The sequence below is a fragment of the Homo sapiens genome, chromosome 11, assembly GCF_000001405.40.
Source record: "Homo sapiens chromosome 11, GRCh38.p14 Primary Assembly".
In the NCBI taxonomy this organism is placed as follows: Eukaryota; Metazoa; Chordata; class Mammalia; order Primates; family Hominidae; genus Homo; species Homo sapiens.
In genome coordinates, this window is record NC_000011.10 from 10,775,656 (window position 1) to 10,796,472 (window position 20,817).

A 20,817-nucleotide genomic window follows, 5' to 3' on the forward strand; every position below is an offset into this window, starting at 1 on the left:
ATTCTTCTCATGATGTAGATAAATCAAAAGTGATTACTAATCAGCCTGTCTGTACTAAGAAAAATATACTTTTCTTTCTTTTTCTTTATAAATAATAAGAGGGGTGGGGACAGACTTGAAAATTGGAGGAAATAGATAACTGGGAGTGTTGCTGTGCCGAAATGGCTTCTCCCCAGCTTCTTAGAATCTGAGAGCTGGAAGAAACTTGACCCTGTCATTTTGTCCTACTACATCTTTTCTCTCAAATAAGAAAAGCTTTTTTGAAGTCTCATTTCTTCATGGATGTTAGCTGAAATTTCCTAGATGACATCCTTCTAAATGAAATGTATCATTTTGCTGCCCTACTGTTGACACACTAAAAGTGTTACAGATAGCCAGGTCCTGGTCATATGGAGATAGGCTATTTCTTTTTATTATTTATTTATTTATTTATCTATTTATCTATTTTTGAGACGGAGTTTCGCTCTTGTTGCCCAGGCTGGAGTGCAATGGCAATCTTGGCTTACCGCAACCTCCACCTTCCGGGTTCAAGCGATTCTCCTGCCTCAGTCTCCCAAGTAGCTGGGATTACAGGCATGTGCCACCATGCCCAGCTAATTTTGTATTTTTAGTAGAGACGGGGTTTCTCCGTGTTGAGAGAGGCTATTTCTTGACTGTTTTCTCCCCCGTTGTGCGGTGGTAAGTCAACAGTACCTGCTCCGTGGAGGACTTATCCTAGACTCCTTCCACAAGACTCCTTTAGTTCATGGCCCACCCAGTGAAGCAATACTTGATTTTATTTGTCCTAAACTTGCTCCTCAAGCTCAAGTTGTCCCCCATTTGGATTTCTCAACCAGGTCTCTTAATACTGTACTACACTGTGTTCTTCTGTAGCCATCATTTTCATTTATTCATTCAACAGACATTTGAACATCGAGTGTGTGAGACAGTGTAAGTGCTGGGAATACAGAGAGAAAAGATAGGCCCATAAATTCTCCAAGGAATTTCTGCTTCAGAGGCAGTGGAAAAGAACAGATAAACCAAAACCATGTTGTAGGCTGGGCGCAGTGGCTCACACCTGTAATCCCAGCACTTTGAGAGGCCAACGTGGGCGGATCACTTGAGGCCAGGAGTTTGAGACCAGCCTGGCTAACATGGCAAAACCCCATCCCTACTAAAAATACAAAAATTAACCAGGCATGGTGGCGTGTGCCTGTAATCCCAGCTACTAGGGAGGCTGAGGGACAAGAATCACTTGAAACGAGGAGGCAGAGGTTGAAGTGAGCTGAGATGGTACCACTGCACTCCAGTCTGGGCAACAGAATGAGACTCTTGTGAAAAAAAAAAAAAAAAAAAAAAAAAGCTCACATTATAGTTGGATTAATGTATCATGTAAATTTGCATTATTGTTCTCCAGGAACCATACCTAGTCTTGAGTTTGGGTGGTGGTAGGAGTTGTAAGAGATGTTTTTTTCTAAAAGAAAGGGTGTTTGAGTTGAGTCTTAGAAGAATTGGGATTCCTGAGGCAGAGGTTAGCATGTTGAGGAGGCTAAGGCTTCTGGTGGGGATTGGACTCATAGGGAGGTAATCTATAAAGAACCAGATTTGCAGTTCTGGCCAGGTGAGGTGGCTCACGCCTATAATCCCAGCACTTTGGGAGGCTGAGGCAGGAGGATCACTTGAGGCCAGAAGTTTGAGACTAGCCTGGGCAGCACAGTGAGACTAGCCTGGGCAGCAAGTGAGACAGAAATTTTATAAAAGCAAAATAAACAAACAAAAAAAGATTTGCAGTTCCCTTTTCCTCTGAAGGCACCGGCTGACACATCTGGATTGTTTTTCCGTAAAGCACTGTTTAGCCCTTGTCCCCATAGTGTTACCCAGGTCTGTTTAGAGACATGCATGATCAGTGTAATGAAATACGTGGTTTTCAAAGACTGAGCACTATTAAATGTGTTGGCAGAAAGGTCCATTGTGAGAGGCTGAGCTGCTGCCAAATCTGTACCTGAGGTCAAGGCCAAGTTTGTTTGAGCCACTTGCATCAGTTAAGCTTTGTCCTGACCATCATAAAGTGTGTTTGCTTATTTGGCAAGATGGAATGGAGTGAATTGGATCCCAGGGAAGACCCACAGGTCTTTAATATGTATACAGAAAGAGAGTAATATATTTCACCTCCCTCACCGTTCCTAGACCGAACTCTGTGGGATTCAGTATTCCTTTATTGGAATATCTGTCATGAAAACCAGAACTAAGGAACGTGCCAGAGAAGTGTGCCTGCTCCAAAGGAGCGGTCACCGTGGTTAAGGGAATGTTCTTTCCTCAGAGCCTCCAGGAAGCCAAGACTCTGAGGGTGCTGCCACCATTCTAAGCATAAGCATGACTTCCCCTTTCCTTTCACTTATCAACTGACAAGTAGAGGGGAGAGCTTGGGAGCAAAGGGAAATAAACCAAAGGGCCCCTTTAGCCCCAGTTCCCTATCTTGAGCAAGTCTGGTCATGGTGGAGGGGACCTAGTGCAGTAGCAAATCTTAGGACAGGAATAATGACCTCACTCTTCAGGTACCTGTTAGCACCGATGGCAATAGGACAGGGAAATGTCCTTTGAAACCCTTTTCTGCCTTTGGAAAAGGGTTAATTCTTCAAAGTCTTCAAGCCAGTTGAGATCCTGGATTTCACCTTTGTTGCTGTTAATTTGTGTACAGAGATAAACAAATGTATCCCTTCCTTTTCATAATTTTATATATGAAATTGGGAAATGCTTCATTCTGATGAAAAGTGTCCAGTGAGTCACCATCCCTGTTTATATTTTGACTTATAGCTAAAGTGCCTTATCTTTTTTTCCTTTTTAAACCTTTTTGAGTTGTGAAATATATCACATTTACAGAATAGTACACAAAACAAGTATCACAGAATGATACCTGTGTAACCACTATTTAGGTCAAGAAATAGAATATTAAATGCCCTTCTGTTTTAAAAGCACATTGTCTGCTCATCAAGGCCCCAGTTAGCCAGAATCCTCAGCTTCTAACCAATGATCATCTTTGCCAGACATCCCAGGAACAGCAACAGCAACAGTGACTCAGACGAGGACGAACAACGAAAGAAATGTGCCTCATCAGAGAGTGATTCCGATGAGAACCAGAACAAGTCTGGCAGCGAGGCCGGCAGTCCCCGGAGGCCACGAAGACAGCGGTCAGATCAGGACTCAGACAGTGACCAGCCATCCAGAAAGAGAAGGCCCTCCGGTTCTGAGCAGTCTGACAATGAATCTGTGCAGTCAGGGAGAAGCCACTCAGGAGTTTCTGAGAACGACTCTCGCCCAGCTTCTCCAAGTGCCGAATCAGATCACGAATCGGAGAGAGGATCTGATAATGAGGGTTCTGGCCAAGGCTCTGGAAATGAATCGGAACCAGAGGGATCCAACAATGAGGCCTCAGATAGAGGCTCAGAACATGGGTCAGATGATAGTGACTAGGTTTTATTTCATCAATAAGCTTCATCTCTGGAGGAAACTTTTTTAATATATGAAAGCTGTGATAAAAATGTTTCAGATGTTTAGTCAATTGTGAAATTTTTCTTAAGGCAATTTTCTTTTCTATCAGTTTGTATATTACTAAGCCCCAAGAGACATTTCCTGTGCTAGAGTCCAATATTTGAGTCTCTCGTGCAAATGAGACTATTCTTTGTGGTACAATTCCACCTATCATATGTGAAAACTGCAGTAAAAATAAACCCAGATGCTAAATCATTCCTACAAAGGTTTGACTGAAACTGTGGCAGATGTCTCATCTTCTTTATATGTTAAGCAGCATACTCTTCTGATTTTTATTGCAATCTTTTACCAAGTGGTGCACAAACTTGGTATTGATGTCTTTATTCCATTTTGAGTTTAGATTGAGAATATTTTTATTTTCTGAAGGCAGAGATATCTACTGTATAATTGCACCAAAGTACATTTGAAAGGAAGGTTTTCAATAGTGTAATACTGCAGCGATGTAGATAAAATCACAAATGTATAATGTGTTAGGTTGAATAAGGTGTGGAAAATGCTTTTCTGTTAGTAGAATGCAAAAACCTACCTAAGCCACATAATAATAAAATTCTTTTACCAACTTTTATGGGTAACTTCGTGTCTTTTTTTGTTCGATATATTTGTGCATGGCAGTGTAGCATAAATTATGCAAATATTTGAAAAATCCTACATTAAGCCTCAAGACTTTTATAATTCTTACAGATTCGTGGAGTGTTTATTTTAAAGATGCAAGAAAACTAAGGTACCAGCATGTATTTTTATTTTCAGTAATTCAGTAATTAACACTAATATTTTTATGTAGTGGTTTGTAAGAGCTTTAATTATTGTAGTCAACAAGTATTATTAAATGTGCTATATTAGCCATTGAGGTGAGAATGCAGAGATAAAGTTCCCTTCTTGTCTTCAAAAATTGAGTAAAGATAAATTTGTTGTTCCTGTGGTGTGAGAAATAGGGTGATGATGTTTGCACAGGTTGTGGGAGCAAAAAGGAGGTTGGAAGAAGCAGTGAAGACAAGGTTTCTTGAAGGACAGGAGTCCTGAGATGACTCAGCCTGAGCCAGGGCTCCTGCCTATACCTCAGGATCAGCCTCCCATTTCTTAGTGGAGTTGGTGTCAGCAGGAACAGGCAGCATAGATAATGGGCCTAGTGCAGTGGCTCGTGCCTGTAATCCCAACATTTTGGGAGGCTAAGGCAGGAGGATCGCTTGAGGCCAGGAGTTTGAGACCCTCCCTGAGCAACCTAGCAAGGCCCCATCTCTACAGAAAAATTTAAAAATTAGCCAGGCGCCGTGGTACACACCTATAGTCCCAGCTACTTGGGAGGCTGAGGCAAGAGGACTGCTTGAGCCAAGGAGCTCTAGGTTACAGTGAGCCGTGATTGTACCACTGCACTCCAGCCTGGGCAACAGAGCTGAGAGCAGAGATACTGGAACCCAGGAGTCCAGGACTGGAATCTCACTTCATGACCCTAACCAACCATGTGACTTTGGGCAAGTTACTTCCCCTATATAGGCCACGTGCCTCATCTAAATCAAACCATTTCTCCACTGTTAATCTTTGAAAGCCTCAATTCAATGTCACAATTAGAGAATAAGACTTGCATTGTCTTTGATGTTCATTTGGAACTAGACCAAGCACCACAACCATAAAATTAGAGCTATTTAATTAAAAAATAAATTTTGTTGAAATTTACACAAGAAAAACCATTCTGAATCTGAAGCTTTAAACCCCTTCCCCACTGAAATTACTTAACAGTCTTTTTAAGCAGACTATCCCGTTATAGCAAGACTATATACCCAACTCAGGAATGTTGTGAGGATGATGAGTTAAGGTAGGTTAAGTGATGAATGCATTGTAAATTCCCAATAAAATTATGCATGTGATTGAATTGGCTCTGAATGTTTGGCACTGTTCTTCAAGCTTGGCTCGTTTAACCTAAGTGGGGACTAGGTCAGTTACTCTTTCACAGGTCATCCTTTAAAAAATTCTTCCTAGTTCCCTTTGAGAAAAATATTTTGAATCTCCAGGAAATGTGACTTTCCTGGAGCTTTTAAAGTATCCCTTGTTTTGGTTCCACTAATGAACAATTTCCATCCCTGGGAGTGTCATTAGCCAAAAGAGGCAAGAAAGACCTTTTAAAGGATAATAATATCATCTCGAACTGGAATTTGGAGCCTATGATCAGTGCAACTTTTGTCGTAGGGGTAGTTTCTGATGCTCTGGTCTTTTGGGTATGCTAGGAAGTATGGGTTGGTGGCAATGCTTCCTGTAATGGCATTATGGGCCCAGGAAAGGGTATATGCTACAGGCAAATCAAATGCGTCTAGACCTCAGTGTATCCTCCGATTTGGGGCCGGGCAAATCAGACTGCAGCTAGAGTCAGAGATTCTCACTTTGGATCAGCCTCTAATGATAGGAAGGCTGCCCTGGCTCCTAGTTTGACTCTGACACTCGATGTGACAAAATGCTTCACTTTTCAGCCTCAGTATCCCTATCTATAAAATAAGGTTGTTTATGATCCTTTTAACATTCTGGGGGCTTTCTAGATTATTTTATTCATTTATTTATTTATGTATTTATTTTTGAGACGGAGTCTTGCTCTGATGCCCAGGCTGGAGTTGAGTGGTATGAGCTTGGCTCACTGCAACCTCCACCTAACTGGGTTCAAGCCATTCTCCTGCCTCAGCCTCCCGAGTAGCTGGGATTACAGGCGCTGGTCACCATACCTGGCTAATTTCTGTATTTTTAGTAGAGACAGGGTTTCTCCATGCAGGCCAGGCCGGTTTTGAACTCCTGACCTCAGGCGATCCGCCCAGCTCGGCCTCACAAAGTGCCGGGATTGCAGACGTGAGCCACCGTGCCCAGCCAAAATGATTTTAAATACAGTGTCTCTACCTCAACTGCATTTTTAACTTGAGGTGTTTCTAGTAATTGAAAATCTTGTCTGCTATTTTAAGCCTAATTTCTTATAGATACAGATATATTTGCTTACGAAATATATTTATTTGGGCCAGGTGTGGTGGCTCGTGCCAGTAATCCTAGCACTTTGGGAGGCTGAGGTAGGAGGATTACTCGAGGCCAGGGGTTCAAGACCAGCCTGGGCAATAGAGTGAGACCCTGTCTCATTAAAAAAAAAAAATTTTTTTTTTTGAGACTTAGTTTTACTCTTGTTGCCCAGGCTGGAGTGCAATGGCGCTATCTCGGCTCACCGCAACCTCCCTCTCCCGGGTTCAAGTGATTCTCCTGCCTCAGCTTCCCAAATAGCTGGGATTACAGGCATGTGCCACCACTCCTGGCTAATTTTGTATTTTTAGTAGAGACAGGGTTTCTCCATGTTGGTCAGGTTGGTCTCGAACTCCCGACCTCAGGTGATCCGCCTGCCTCGGCCTCCCAAAGTGCTGGGATTACAGGCGTGAGCCACCGCACCCAGCAAAAACAATTTAAAAAATTTGTTTTAAGGAAGTATATTTATTTGGCTCTTGTCTTTTGCTGCTTTTTGTTTTGTTTTGTTTTGTTTTGTTTTTGTTTTTGTTTTTGTTTTTTTGAGACAGAGTCTCGCTCTGTCGCCCAGGCTGGAGTGCAGTGGCACGATCTTGGCTCACCAACCTCCACCTCCCGGGTTAAAGTGATTCTCCTGCCGCAGCCTCCTGAGTAGCTGGGACTACAGGCACATGCCACCATGCCCAGCTGATTTTTGTGTTTTTAGTAGAGACGGGATTTCACCATGTTGACCAAGCTGGTCTTGAACTCCTGACCTCATGTAATCCACCTGTCTCGGCCTCCCATAGTGCTGGGATTACAGACGTGAGCCACTATGCCCATCCCCTTTTGCTGTTCTTTATTCTGCTTTATGGCAGAGGTATTTTGATAACATTTTTTCATTTTTAAAACAGTGAGTTTTGGAAAATATCTCAATTTTTGTGCATATGCCTTGATATAGCTGATCAATTCTGGATTGCCACTACTCTAACACTCTGAGGGCAAGTATATTTGTTCATGAAGTCCACAGCTAAATAGTGAAGAGAACACTTATTAGCAAGGCATGTGGGGCTGGCTTTTCAGGTATCTTCTGCAGAAGTCACTCAAGTTGTGAATTTACCTTCTTTTTAATTCTGTCTCCTAAACAGACCTCGATCCAGTGGGTTCCCCAGAGTGTTTTCCAGGACATGCTAGTTCCAAAAGATACTCCTTAAAAAAGAGTTCGATAGTCAAGTAAGTTATGAAAATGCTATAGCAATTAGGAAGTTTTGGTGACAATTCACAGAAAACTCTGTTTCAAACTGATTTAGCAAGAAGGAAAGACTGGGCACAGTGGCTCACGCCTGTAATCCCAGCACTTTGGGAGGCTGAAGCAGGTGGATCACCTGATCTCAGGAGTTCGAGACCAGCCTGGCCAACATGGTGAAACTCCATCTCTACTAAAAATACAAAAATTAGCAGGGCGTGGTGGCACACCCCTGTAATCCCAGCTACTCGGGAGGCTGAGGCATGAGAATCACTTGAACCCAGGGGACAGGTTGCAATGAGCCGAGATTGCACCACTGTTCTCTACCCTGGGCAACAGAGTGAGATTCTGTCTCAAAAAAAAAAAAAAAAAGGAAAGATAATTGTATCCTATAACTGGACATCTGGGGGGATTGCCGAAAGGAAGCTACAGTTCAATCAGAAGTTTCAGTATTATGAAAGACTCAGTTTTATTCATTCTTTTTATCATGCATATAGAAGAGTATATGATGTGATAAATACAAACTAATACCTCTATATCCCTTCTAGAGCCCTTTCCTGTGTGCCTCTTGTGTGCCCTTTCCCAGTTGCACCCCTCTCCTTTCCCATATATGCTATGTTCGAGCAAAGTGTTTAAACCTGTCTGGGAGTTTAGCCCCTTCTGAGGATGTAGGTCATAATTTGAACATTGCTATCATTGTGCTTTACCGTAGAAAGTGAGGTGTCAGGCTCCTTGCCTCTGCCCTGCGTGACCCCTTAGTGTTGATTGAAATGATCTATTTATCCCCACCAGACCATGAACTTGAGGACAGAGCTTATAGTGTTTCCATCTATTTCCAGGGGCCAATCATAAAGCCTGGCAAGAAGTAGATGCTAATTTATATTTTGAATATAAATTTAAAACTGAATTAACTAAACATGGAGGTTGTGGCAAGGATTGGACTCTGCTCTGAGGCCTCTGCAGCTCCATCCTGCTCTTCTAGAATGTGTTTTAGCAAATGCATTTTGTGGGAGTCAGGTTTCCACTTGAACTCAGTGGTAGCATGTGGCATAAGTCCAGGTCCCCTTCACAAACGCAGCCACAGCAGATGCACTGCCAGACTCTCCACGTGGCTGGAAATGGTCAGGCTGCTGTTTCTTACAAACTGTCCTTATGCCCACCAGCTTTTCTTCTCATATTGACAATTGTGAAGGCATTGAATGTCCGTCAAACTACTCAAAGATCACTACTCTTGAGCATAATCTCAATAAATGAACATGTAGGTTTGTCTTTAGTCCCAGACAGGGTGGAATGTCTGTGATATTATCTTCTCCAGAGGGGGATCAATGCCAAAACCTTTGTTCTCTTCTGAACTGCTTTGTTCTTTGAAACAATACTGTTTTGATCTCCCATGGGAGCTGCTGCTCCGATTTCCTTAACTGAAAAGAAGTGGCGACTTCAATTCCTGCCTTAGCCCGCTGCGGATTGTCCTGGTCTGCGTGTGTGTGCCTGTGCCTAGGTGCAGACACGCTCCTTACTTATCTCACTTCCTGCTGCTTCCAGCTTGGAGTGGCAGCTAAAGCAATTAGGCCAAGGAGGTGGGAGAAGGGAGCATCAATATATTCCTTGGCCAGAAGCAACTGTGAGGGGCAAACGCTGGGGCTAGTTTCATGGATTTAAAACCTTGCTTCCACAGCCTGCAACCTTCTTGTTGGTTCTAGCTGAACTCTGGCATGGGAACCATGCACCTCCTTCTTTTTCATGGTTTATAGAAATTTCAGAACTCGGGTTCCCACCCTTTTGATCCTCCAGGAAGCCTCGGGACCCTCCCTTCTGGAATCTCACATTGCAAACAGCTGATCTTGTTCTAAACCCCTATTCAAGGCAGCTCGGAAGTTCTCAGTAGTCACATGAGCTGACGGTGTGCTCCCCTTGACAGCTGTGGTGTGGCTGGTAGGTCCTTGTCCCTGTGGCAGGGATGACAAATGCCTTATAGTTATTTGACTCTAGGCAATGGGGTTGGAGCATGAGGAAAGGGTTGGCCTTTGCAAAGAGCTGAGTCCCTTCATCCACAAAAAAGGAAATCATGTGTCAGTGCAATTATTAGCAAGTCAGTAGCTTAGATGGTAGGAAGATTTAGGGGATGGAGTTGCTTCTCAATGAGGTAGAAGCTGAGGCCCAGAGTCACCGTGGCTGGGAAGGCAGTACAGTCCTTGGTGGTCAGCAATGGGGCCTGGGCGGATTAGGGTGGATATCAGGGCTCATCAGATTTTAATGGGCTAATCACCTACAGATTCTGATTCAGTGGGTCAGGAGTGAGACCAGACATTCTGCAGTTCTAACCGGCTTTCAGGTGAAACGAATCCAAAGACTACACTTTGAGCCCGGGAGGTTGTATAGCATTACAAATGTGCCCTTTCTGGGAGAACACCCTCAACTTTTCTTTCCTTGAGGCTTAAAAGCCTGACAAAGCAATTTCAGCAGGTAGGGGTGGGGTGTGGAGAAGCGGATATTACCAGGGGCAGGAGGAATGAGTGAGAGGAGGCTCAGGGAGGAGACGATGTGAAACAGCTCTTGTGAAGAGTGGGCAGGTGAGCACACCGGGGAGGTGGTGAGGTCCGACGGCACAAATTTTAAAGGACCTGGGCCTTCAGAAGAAAGAGGTGGACAGAAAGCAGAGTGGACACTGGCCACGCCAAGGCCACTGGGCATGAGACGCAAGGCAGCAGGGGAAGTGATGATGTCACAGGACAGCCAGGTTTCCTTTAGAGCAAGAAGATGACAGAACTGTCCAGAGAAGATATTGAGGATGTGGGAAATTTGCTGCTGATAGACCGTGAGGCCCAGAGGGTGTGGAGGAAGGGTTGGGGAGCGGGGAGAGGGGAGGAGAGGGAGGGAGAATTGGGGGCACATTAGCAGGTGTATGGAGAAGTTCAGCGTGAGGTCCAGGTCCATACTGGGGCCCTTGGACTTCCCGTGGGCGAGGCAGGGCTGAAGCAGGCTGGGAAAACAGGTAACCAGTTCCAACTGCACAGAGTAGGGCCTTTGGGGATGCTCTTTCCTGCACTCGGGTGATGCACTGATCCTGTTTTTGGAGGCATGAGGGAGGGGCAGTAGAACTTCAGGAGAGGCGTCACTCCTGGGACAGGAAGCTGGGGTGCCCCACTCCAGGGCCCAGGTGTCTCAGCCATGGAGTGGAAGCCCCATGCACGCGACCTTGTCTCTCCAGGGCATGTTGTTATGGATGCTGCCTTTTTAGAGCAATGTGGTCAGACAATGCTGTCCCCACGCACTGGTGACTTGGTGGTTACAGCTCAGCATTTCCAAAGATAAAGCAATAGTTGTGGGTTTTTTTGTTTGTTTGTTTTTTGAGACAGAGTCTCACTCTGTTGCCCAGGCTGGAGTGCAATGGCATGCTCTTGGCTCACTCAACCTCTGCCTCCTGGGTTCAAGCGATCCTCCTGCCTCAGCCTCCTGAGTAGCTGGGATTACAGGCACACGCCACAATGCCCAGCTAATTTTTTGTATTTTTAGTAGAAACGGGATTTCACCATGTTGGCCAGGCTAGTCTCAGACTCCTGACCTCAGGTGATCCACCTGCCTCGGCCTCCCAAAGTGCTGGGATTACAGGTGTGAGCCACCACGCCTGGCCAATAGCTGTGTCTTGAGCTTCAAATATCATAGATGCCTGAGTATAAGGTGTCCTGAATATAACGTGACCCCATGCCCACTGTAAAGGTTCTCTGTCTGCCCAAAAGATTTTTCACTAACTTAAACTTACAAACTTTGGGGATGTAGATGAAATAGTTCAATGTCTACTAATAATACTTATTAAATTTAAAATGTGTTTAAATCACACATTCATAAAATGTTGAGAACAAGTGCTTTCCTCCATTCATATTCCATACAATAATTTCACTCAAATTTATCACAGAATCTTTGTCCATTGTACTTGAGCCACTTTCGGAATCATCTAACAGTTTTCAGGAGAACGTTGCCTTCCCACCCATCGTGTTGTTTGAGGTCCAGGCTTGAGAGTCCATGGCCCTGTGGCTGAATGTGTTGTCCTGAGCTGCCAGCACTCCTCTGCATCGCATTAGAACAACAACTGGCCTTCCCATTTGTCCCGTAGGTGGCTTTTCCCATCTTCATTTGATGTACTGCTCTTTCTTTTTTGTGTGAGAGAGGTTCTCGCTCTGTCAGCCAGGCTGGGGTGCAATAGTCAGATCATTGCTTACTGCAGCTTCGACCTCCTGGGCTCAAGCAATCCTCCTGCCTCCCCTCCCTACCAGCTAGGACTACAGGAATACAGCATTGTGCCTGGCTAATTTTTAAAATTTTTGGAGAGACAGGGTCTCACCGTGTTGCCCAGGCTGGTCTCAAACCCCTGGCTTCAAGTGATCTCCTGCCTCAGCCTCCCAAAGCAGTGAGATTTCAGGCTTGAGCCACTGTGCCCAGGCTAATGTACCACTTTTTAAAGCAATCTTTAAAATGCTTGTTTATAACTTTTGCAAACTCTTGAGATTTTACAACCGTGTCCCCAGGAATAACAATTAAGTCTGTATTCAATTTCTTTGACACCAAGCCTCTCGAAGGCCTCCATAAACATCAAAAACTAGCTATTGATTGGGATCACTTCAGGTTAATGTGTCATCCCCAAACTGTAGATTATTGTCCAAACAAATGTAATTGACAGGGCCTCATGTAATTGGAAATTGTCAGGCAATTATCGTGTGTCAATTAAAAGTAATAAAAGTAAAAAACATAAACAAAACTAACAACACATGTATAAGATATGTATTCTAAAAATTACACAATGATGAAAACAATATCAAAGAAGACTCAGGCTGGGCACAGTGGCTCACACCTGTAATCCCAGCATTTTGGGAGGTCGAGGTGGGAGGATCGCTTGAGCTCAGGAGTTCAAGACCAGCCTGGGTAACATGGCGAAATCCCATCTCTACAAAGAATACAAAAAGTTAGCCAGATGTGGTGGCGTGTGCCTGTAGTCCCAGCTACTTGGGGGCTGAGGCAGGAGGATCACTTGAGCCTGGGAAGCAGAGGTTGCGGTGAGCTGAGATGGCACCACTGCACTACAGCCTGGGTGACAAAGTGAGACCCTGTCTCAAAAAAAAAAAAAAAAAAGAAAGTCTTAAATTAAGAGATATATCATGTTCATGGACTGGAAGACTCAACATAGTGAAGATGTTTCTCTACAAAAAAAAAAAAGAAGAAGAAAAAATTGTTAGAGCGAAAATGTCAGGCTTTTTTTCAAGAGGATAAAAACTGCAGGTATTGGCTAGGCACAGTGAAACACGCCTCTAATCCCAGCACTTTGGGAATCTGAGGGAGGTGGATCACTTGAGCCCAGGAGTTCCAGACCACCCTAGGCAACATGGTGAAACCCTGTCTCTACAAAAAATTAGCCGGGCATGGTGGCCCACCTGTAGTCCCAGCAACTTGAGAGGCTGAGGTAGGAGAATCATTTGACCCCAAGAGGTTGAGGCTTCAGTAAGCTGAGATTGTGCCACTGCTCTCCAGCCTGAGCGACAGAATGAGACCCTGTCTTCAAACAAAACAAAAGCAAAACAAAACAAAACCTGCAGGTATTTATAGTTTGCCACATTTTGTTTTATTTTCCCCATCTTTGGAAATCAGCTCCAATTTTGACTGCCGTGTAATAGAAAACATGCGGACTTTAGAGTTATTCGAACTCTAAATCCTAGCTCTTCCTCTGACAAATGATGTGACTTTGAACAATGGCTCCATCCCCCTCAGCTTCAATTTCCTACTGTTTAAATTGGGATAACAATGTCTACATCCCAGGACTATTCTGAGAATAATATAGTCAGAGTTCAAAAAGGTTAGTCTTTTTTTCCCACTGATTTTTTAAAGAGCTTTTTGTGGTTAACCCTTGATTGTGCACATGCAAATATTTTAATTTATCCTTTATAACATTTTGGGACAGATTAATAGGCAAATCTGTCAACATTTCCCTTCATCGTTTCTGGATATGTATATTTTTTTCACAAAGAGATAGATGTTCCATGAAGTTAAAGCTTAGGCATCAGGGTCCCTCACTTGCCTGGGCCTCTTCCAAGGCTGCACCTAATTTTTCATTTGTGATTTTGTTTTCTTTTTCCTAAAGAGACCTCCACCACCCCTGCCAAATTATGTAAACTTCAGGCCCTACAGAATCTGGAACTTTCCCGAGTAACGTGCTTAGAAAAGTCACGTCACCCTAGGCCGGGCACGGTGACTCACGCCTGTAATCCCAGCACTTTGGGAGGCTGAGGCGGGCAGATCACCTGAGGTCAGGAGTTCAAGACCAGCCTGACCAACATGGCAAAACCCTGTCTCTACTAAAAAATACAAAAATTGGCCGGGCGTTGTGGCAGGCGCCTGTAATCCCAGCTACTCGGGAGGCTGAGGCAGGGAGAATTGCTTGAACCCGGGAGGTGGAGGTTGCAGTGAGCCGAGATCATGCCATTGCACTCCAGCCTAGAAGAAAGAGGGAGACTCTAAAAAAAAAAAAAAAAAAAAAAAAAAAAAAAAGAAGCAAAGCAAAGAAAAGAAAAGTCACCTCACCCCAAATTATGAAAAATTTTAATAGGCTTAGCTTTATATCTTTTCTTTTGGCTTATTTTCTAATTTTTTAGTACTAAAGTAGATTACTAATTTTCTTCAAAGAATTTTTCTCAGAACAAAATAGAGCTCCACTGCTCATTCATTCACTCATTTTATTTACTGGTTCGTCCAAGCTCTTCCCTCACCTTTCTGTACCTAGCTGAGTTGTGAAGCAGCTGGTGGGTTCAGGGGAGGAGAGAGGAAGGGACAGAGCTAGAGGGCACGGTGGCCCTGGATGGAAGTGATGGTACTGGGGTTGGGGGCAATGTATTAGTTTCTAGGACTACCGTAATGAAGTAGCACAAACAGGGTGTCTTGAACAACAAAAACATATTCTCTCATTGTTCTGGAGACTAGAAGTCCAAAATCAAGGTGTCAGCAGGGCATGGGAAGGCTCTAGAGATAATCTGTCCATGTCTCTCTCCTAGCTGCTAGCATTGCTGGCAAACCTTCGCAGTCCTTGGCTTGTAGAGACGTCACTCCAATCTCTGCCCCTGTCATCAAATGGCACTCACCCTGCATGTCTGTGTGCCACTTCTCTTATTATAAGGACACCATTATATCAGATTAGGGCCTCCTCTAATGACTTGCTTACATCTGCAAAGACCCTATTTCCAAATAGGAAGATCACATTCACTGGTACCTGGAGTTAGGACATCAGCATATATCTTTGGGGGCTGGGGACATAATTCAACCCATGACAGAAGGATTAGGGGGCTGATTCTTCCTCACCTCCGGTCCTACACCCCAACCCTCAGAAGCACCTGCCCCTCCCTACACTCATTCCGCCCTGGTTACACTTCCAAGCATGAGGAGCTCATTGCCTCTGCAAAGGGTCCTTTACTTTCTCTCTTCAGTTTCTGTCCCCTACCCCAACATGCATTTTGGTGTATCTGGTATGAGCACCGGCTCCTGAGTTACAGTGTAGGGCTTGAATCACCACCCCATGACTTAATAGATGTGTGGCCCAGTACTTCAAAAGAGCATGCATGATATGATGTGGCTCTGTGTCCTCACCCAAATCTCATGTCATCTCAAATTGTAATCCCCATAATCCCCATGTGTCAAGGGAGGGACCTGGTGGGAGGTGATTCGATCTTGGGGGCGGTCTCCCCCATGCTGTTCTCATGATAGTGAGGGAGTTCTCACAAGGAGATCTGATGGTTTTATAAGTGCTTGACAGTTCCTCCTTCACACTCTCTCTCTCGTTGCCTTGTGAGGAAGGCGCCTACTTGCCCTTCACTTTCTCCCGTGATTGCAAGTTTCCTGAATTCTCCCCAAACATGTGGAACTGTAAGTCAATTAAACCTCTTTTTTTTTTTTAATAAATTACCAAGTCTCAGGTATTTCTTTATAGCAGTGTGAAAACAGCCTAATACAATGCAGAAAAGGCGTTCATAGCTACTTGCCAAATACATGAAAGATCTTGGGCAGGTGCTTTGCTTCTCTGAGCCTCAGTTTGGGGCTCAGACATGGGGATAGTGAAGGGGGATAGTGAAGCACCTGCCTCAAGGATGTTGGGATGATTACAAGGGATGACTACCTTGATGCATTTGGTCCAGCCTGGCATATGCTAACTCCTCGGCAAACATTAGCTACAATAATCATAATATGTCCTAGCAGAGCTCAGGATGCAGTGCAGGCACTGCACTGGTCTTAATGAGGGATTGATATTAACAAATGATAAAAAGCAATCCTCCAAAGGCAGCCCATCTCACTCAGCATAAAAGCCAAAGTCCTTACTGGGTCTGACTAGTTCTCTGCACTGGCCGGCGCCCTTCTCCTCAGCCTCAAACCCCCTTGCCCTCTGCTTGGCCAGATTGTTCCTCAGACAGGCCAGGTGCGTTCCCAATCTCAGGGCCTCCAGCTTGGCCTCCCCTCTGCCAGGAATGCTGTTCCTCCAGATGGCTGTGGAGTTCACCCCCTGGCATCTCTTAGATCTTTGCTCAAAGGCCACCTCCTCCTGAGGCCATCCCAGAACCCCCTCTTTCAAGCAGCACTCACTCCACTCCCTAGCCCTTACTCGCATCCCTGCATACAGCACTTTTTACTGCCTGGCACTGTACGTTTGTTGATTTACTGTCTCTCTGCTATCACCCAGAACGTTGCTTCCAGAAGAAGACTGTCTCATTACTGTTACATCTCTGGCCCTGGAGTAGCCCCTGGCAAATATGTACTCAGTACATGTTTGCGAGACGCATGGACTTGTAGAACAGTTCCACAGCTGTCCATCACTGATGTTCCATACCTAGCGATGCGGCCCCTCGAAACGCACTGGAGAGCTGGGCAGACCAAGGATAATTTCACAGGTAAGTCAGATAGAGCCTGGGGAGGTGCAGCGATTGGCCTAGGCTCCGAGACTGATGACCCGGGAAGCTGGGGCCTGCGCTCTGCTCTGTGGCTCGGCATGCTGTGCAGCTGACCTGAGCAGCTCTTGAGGAGTCACTGCTCATTTACCAGTCACATCGTCGTGTCATGCACCGTTGACAGGAGACCAAGCCCAGGGCAACATTCTCACTTCCCCCTCTCCATGAGCGTGACCAGTGGGTCTCGGTCTTGCCTCCGCGTGGGCCGTACAGGACAAGGGCCAGAGCCTTGCAACCCGACCCACCTGCCAGGGGTGGTCTCCCAGCATCCCGGCAGAGGGCGCTGTGGGACAGCGTTGCTGATCGGTCGGGGACCTGGGTCCAGCTCAGCCTCCTGCGCTCCCCCTGGGTCAGGACGGGCAAGGGCAGGGCTGCGGGGCGGGGCAGGGCAGGCTGTGGGACTTGAATGTCCTGTGTCCGCTACTCTCTGCCCTGTGCTCAGGTGTCTCCTCGTCCAGGGCTCTTGCATATTCTTGTAGGACTTTGCTTGGAAAATTGTCTAGTGAGAAAGTGATTCGTTTTTGGTTTGCATGAGGCTATGGTTGCAGAGTTAGAAAGGGAGGGAGTGTTGGTTTGCGGCAAAAAGTTTAGGGATGAATATTGAGTTTGAAGTGCTGTGGCACATTCAGAAATATGTCCAGGGGCTGGTTGGATGTGCGAGTTAGACATTCTGGAAAGGGGTTTGGACTCAAGATACAGATGTCATCAGCAGATAGCTGGTAATCGGATCCACAGAAGTGAGTGACAGTGTTGAAGGAGGGAGGCAAAACAGCAACATTCAGGGGCCAGGTGAAAAAAGAGGGCTTTTAAAGGAGACTGAGGAGAAGCTGGGAGAAAAACAAAGTGGGAAAGAGGAAAGTCAACTGGCAAGTGCTTTTGATTGATCAAATAAGACTGAGCTATACCCTTTAGTTATATCTAGCCAATGATCTTGTTAGTTCAGAAGATGGAAGCAGTTCTCCTGGGGAGGAATCTTAGAAAGGAGGGTGACATTCATATCTATTGGGCTGCTATGTGGGATGCTTTCCCTAGTGACTTTTACATATTAGCTTGTTTAGCTCTCATGACAATCCTTAAGTATTAACCCTGTTTTCTTTCTTTCTTTTTTTTTTTTTTTTTAAATTTTTGAGACAGGGTCTTGCTCTGTCTCCCAGGCCGGAGTGCAGTGGCACGATCATAGTTCACTGCAGCCTCAAACTCTTGGGCTCAAGCAATCCTCCCACCTCAGCCTTCAGAGTAGCTGGAACTACAGCTGCACGTTAGCCACATTTTCATTCATTCATTCGAGACAGGGTCTCACTCTGTTGCCCAGGCTGGAGTGCAGTGACGTGATCATGGCTCACTGCAGCCTCGACCTCCTCGGCTCAGGTGATCCTCCCACCTCAGCCTCCTGAGTAGCTGAGACTACAGGTGTGCATCATCACACTCAGCAAATTTTTCTACTTTTTTTTTTTTTTTTTTGTAGACACAGGGTTTCCCCACGTTGCCCAAGCTAAATTTTCTAAAATAATTTCTAAAATAATCAAGACTCAGATAAAAAATATCTTACCTAAGATCACCCTGCTTGTGTTAGAGATTAACCCTAGATCGATCTACAACTCGAGTCTGAGGTCTTCCCACTACTTCCTTCCTCTATGTCCACATCCTGCCATGTAGGGTAATTTTATTAATTCATGATTTGGTTGAACAAATATTTGAGTTTACCGGGCACTGGGCACTGTTCTAGATGCTGGGAATACAGCAGTGAAAAAAACTGTCAAATACTTCATGCTCTTCACATTCTAGCAGGAATCAGATATAACCATGCAGTATGTCATGTAATGAGACATGGAGATACAAAAAGGAAAGAGGGATGAGGATGTGTTTAGAGTTTTTAAATATATATATGAATTTCTTTCCTGCCCCTTAAGATCTGCAGGAGGTTATCAGAATTGACAATGAGGACTTTACTAATAAAAGTGACATTTGAAGCTGGGCGCGGTAGCTCACGCCTGTAATTCCAGCACTTTGGGAGGCCGAGGAGGGCGGATCACGAGGTCAGGAGATCGAGACCATCCTGGCTAACACGGTGAAACCCCGTGTCTACTAAAAATACAAAAAGTTAGCCGGGCATGGTGGCGGGCGCCTGTAGTCCCAGCTACTCAGGAGGCTGAGGCAGGAGAATGGCGTGAACCCAGTAGGTGGAGCTTGCAGTGAGCCAAGATCGCGCCACTGCACTCTAGCCTGGGCAACAAAGCGAGACTCCGTCTCAAAAAAAAAAAAAAAAAAAAAAAAAAAAGTGACATTTGAGCCAAGACCTGAGGAGGGGGAGAAAGCCAGTCATCCAGTTATCCAGAAGAAAGGAGGAACATAAAACCTCCAAAGTAAGAAGATGCTTGGCATGTCCCAGGAGCAGCAAATCCAGTGTGGTGGGAGCAGAAGGATTAAGTGCCAGCAGTAGGAAATTAGATCAGAGAAACAGGTTGTGGGGCAAGGATGGGGAGAGGGCTAAGAAAATCAGATGTGGGGTGATGTAGACCAAATTAAGTATTTTGACATAAAAATCCCACTAGGTGGGAAGCCATTTGGCGGGTTTTGAGCCAAGTGGTGCTGTGTTGAGACGACAAAATGGAGATGAGGGCTAGGCAGGGAGGCCAGTTAAGGCTACTGTGGTACCTAGGTAAGAAATGAGGGTGGTGGTTGAAGAAATGAGTTCTTCAATTTCTAAAATGTTTGGAATGCAATCAACATGATTTGATGCTAGAATGGATGCAGAGTATGACAACAACTGAAAAAGTGTTGAGATCAGGCATCTCCCATTGGAAACTGAGAAGAAAAAGATGTCCTGGGAACAAGTTAACACTTTCAAGGAATGAGTAACTTGTCAAATGCTGCCTACAGGAGGATCAAAACCTACTGGATATAGCATTGGAGTTACTGGTGACCCTAAGAAAGTTTTGGTGTGGGGAACCAGGGGAGTGAAGCCCTACTGAGGCTTCAGAATGGGGAAAATTAGACAACTCTTTCAATTTTGCAGTAAAGGAAAAAAAAATTGGGGGCAGTAAAGACATGCAATCTTATTTTGAAGTCACCATGAAGTGAATGAAGATTAGTCACTACATGCTGATACTAAAGAAATTGGCAATCATGCAAGGTACATCCCAGTTATACCCAGATACTGCCATTCCACAGTATGGTAGATTATAAAGTACACTGTTAGGTGTCTTTAGAACAAGGTAGCAGCAGTATTATACATTCTCTATGGGTTGAATATTTTGAGTAGCTCTTGACATGTTTGGGGTGGGAAGATTAAAGCATGATTCTGTAAGCAATGACAAACCACTGCGTACCGGGTTTAGTTCATTTTTTATTGAGACGGAGTTTCGCTCTTGTTGCCTAGGCTGGAGTGCAATGGTGCCATCTCGGCTCACTGCAACCTCCGCCTCCCAGGTTCAAGCCATTCTCCTGCCTCAGCCTCCCGAGTCACTGGGATTGTAGACATGCACCACCACACTCAGCTTTGTATTTTTCTAGAAGAAAATAGGGTTTCTCCATGTTGGTCAGCCTGGTCTTGAACTCCGACCTCAGGTGATCCGCCCGCCTTAGGCCTCCCAAAGTGCTGGGATTACAGGCGTGAGCCACTGCACCCAGGCCCAGGTTTAGTTCTAAAACTTCCTTTAGCCTGATACCCTGGCTGAATTAGGCAAATTCTGGCAATAAGAATTGACTAGCTGATCCACCTAACCAGTTGCTCCTTTTGCTAGGTTAAAAATTAGTTTCCTCCCCTTCGTGGGGAGGGTTGGGCAGAGAAACAATTTACAGCCCCTTTAAAATTTAGGTAGGTTCATACAAATCTGTTTAGCTTTAAATTTTGCTGTACTCAAAGTACCCAAAAGCTTATGACTTGTTAAAACTTCAGGGGAAGATGAGTGCCATAATGCAAGATTTAGCTTCCCTGGCCCAAATAAGACAGACACAAAAACATTGATTGGTTCTGCCTCCCACCCACTGGAGCATGTGCAGGCAGCCTCTTCTGACTTCAAGGTTCTAATGGGTTCGGCAGTATGATAGTCTGCCTTGAGGGTCTCCCCAATCACCAAGAACAGGTTCTTAGGTGTTGACATCAACCAGGAC

At 45.0% G+C, this 20,817-nt stretch overlaps 1 protein-coding gene across 2 annotated transcripts in view, besides 3 other annotated features; it reads left to right on the forward strand.

The window, feature by feature from the left end:
* Positions 1-4,091, forward strand: part of CTR9 (CTR9 component of Paf1/RNA polymerase II complex) — a 28,501-nt gene extending 24,410 nt beyond the window's left edge. For both annotated transcript variants that reach the window (NM_014633.5, NM_001346279.2), the window contains one exon: positions 3,024-4,091. In NM_014633.5, coding sequence (NP_055448.1) covers positions 3,024-3,450 — 427 coding nt within the window. In that variant the 3' untranslated portion in view covers positions 3,451-4,091. The remainder of the gene's footprint in view (positions 1-3,023) is intronic.
* Positions 16,203-16,752: an enhancer, noted in NCBI's record as "H3K4me1 hESC enhancer chr11:10813405-10813954 (GRCh37/hg19 assembly coordinates)". NCBI's record gives its function as "activates a minimal SCP1, AML or CMV promoter by ChIP-STARR-seq in naive H9 embryonic stem cells {active_cell/tissue: H9 hESC(naive)}" and the evidence as "EXISTENCE:reporter gene assay evidence [ECO:0000049][PMID:30033119]".
* Positions 16,753-17,302: an enhancer, noted in NCBI's record as "H3K4me1 hESC enhancer chr11:10813955-10814504 (GRCh37/hg19 assembly coordinates)". NCBI's record gives its function as "activates a minimal SCP1, AML or CMV promoter by ChIP-STARR-seq in naive H9 embryonic stem cells {active_cell/tissue: H9 hESC(naive)}" and the evidence as "EXISTENCE:reporter gene assay evidence [ECO:0000049][PMID:30033119]".
* Positions 16,963-17,102: a silencer, noted in NCBI's record as "silent region_3153". NCBI's record gives its function as "represses an Ori minimal core promoter by ATAC-STARR-seq in GM12878 lymphoblastoid cells {active_cell/tissue: GM12878}" and the evidence as "EXISTENCE:reporter gene assay evidence [ECO:0000049][PMID:35858748]".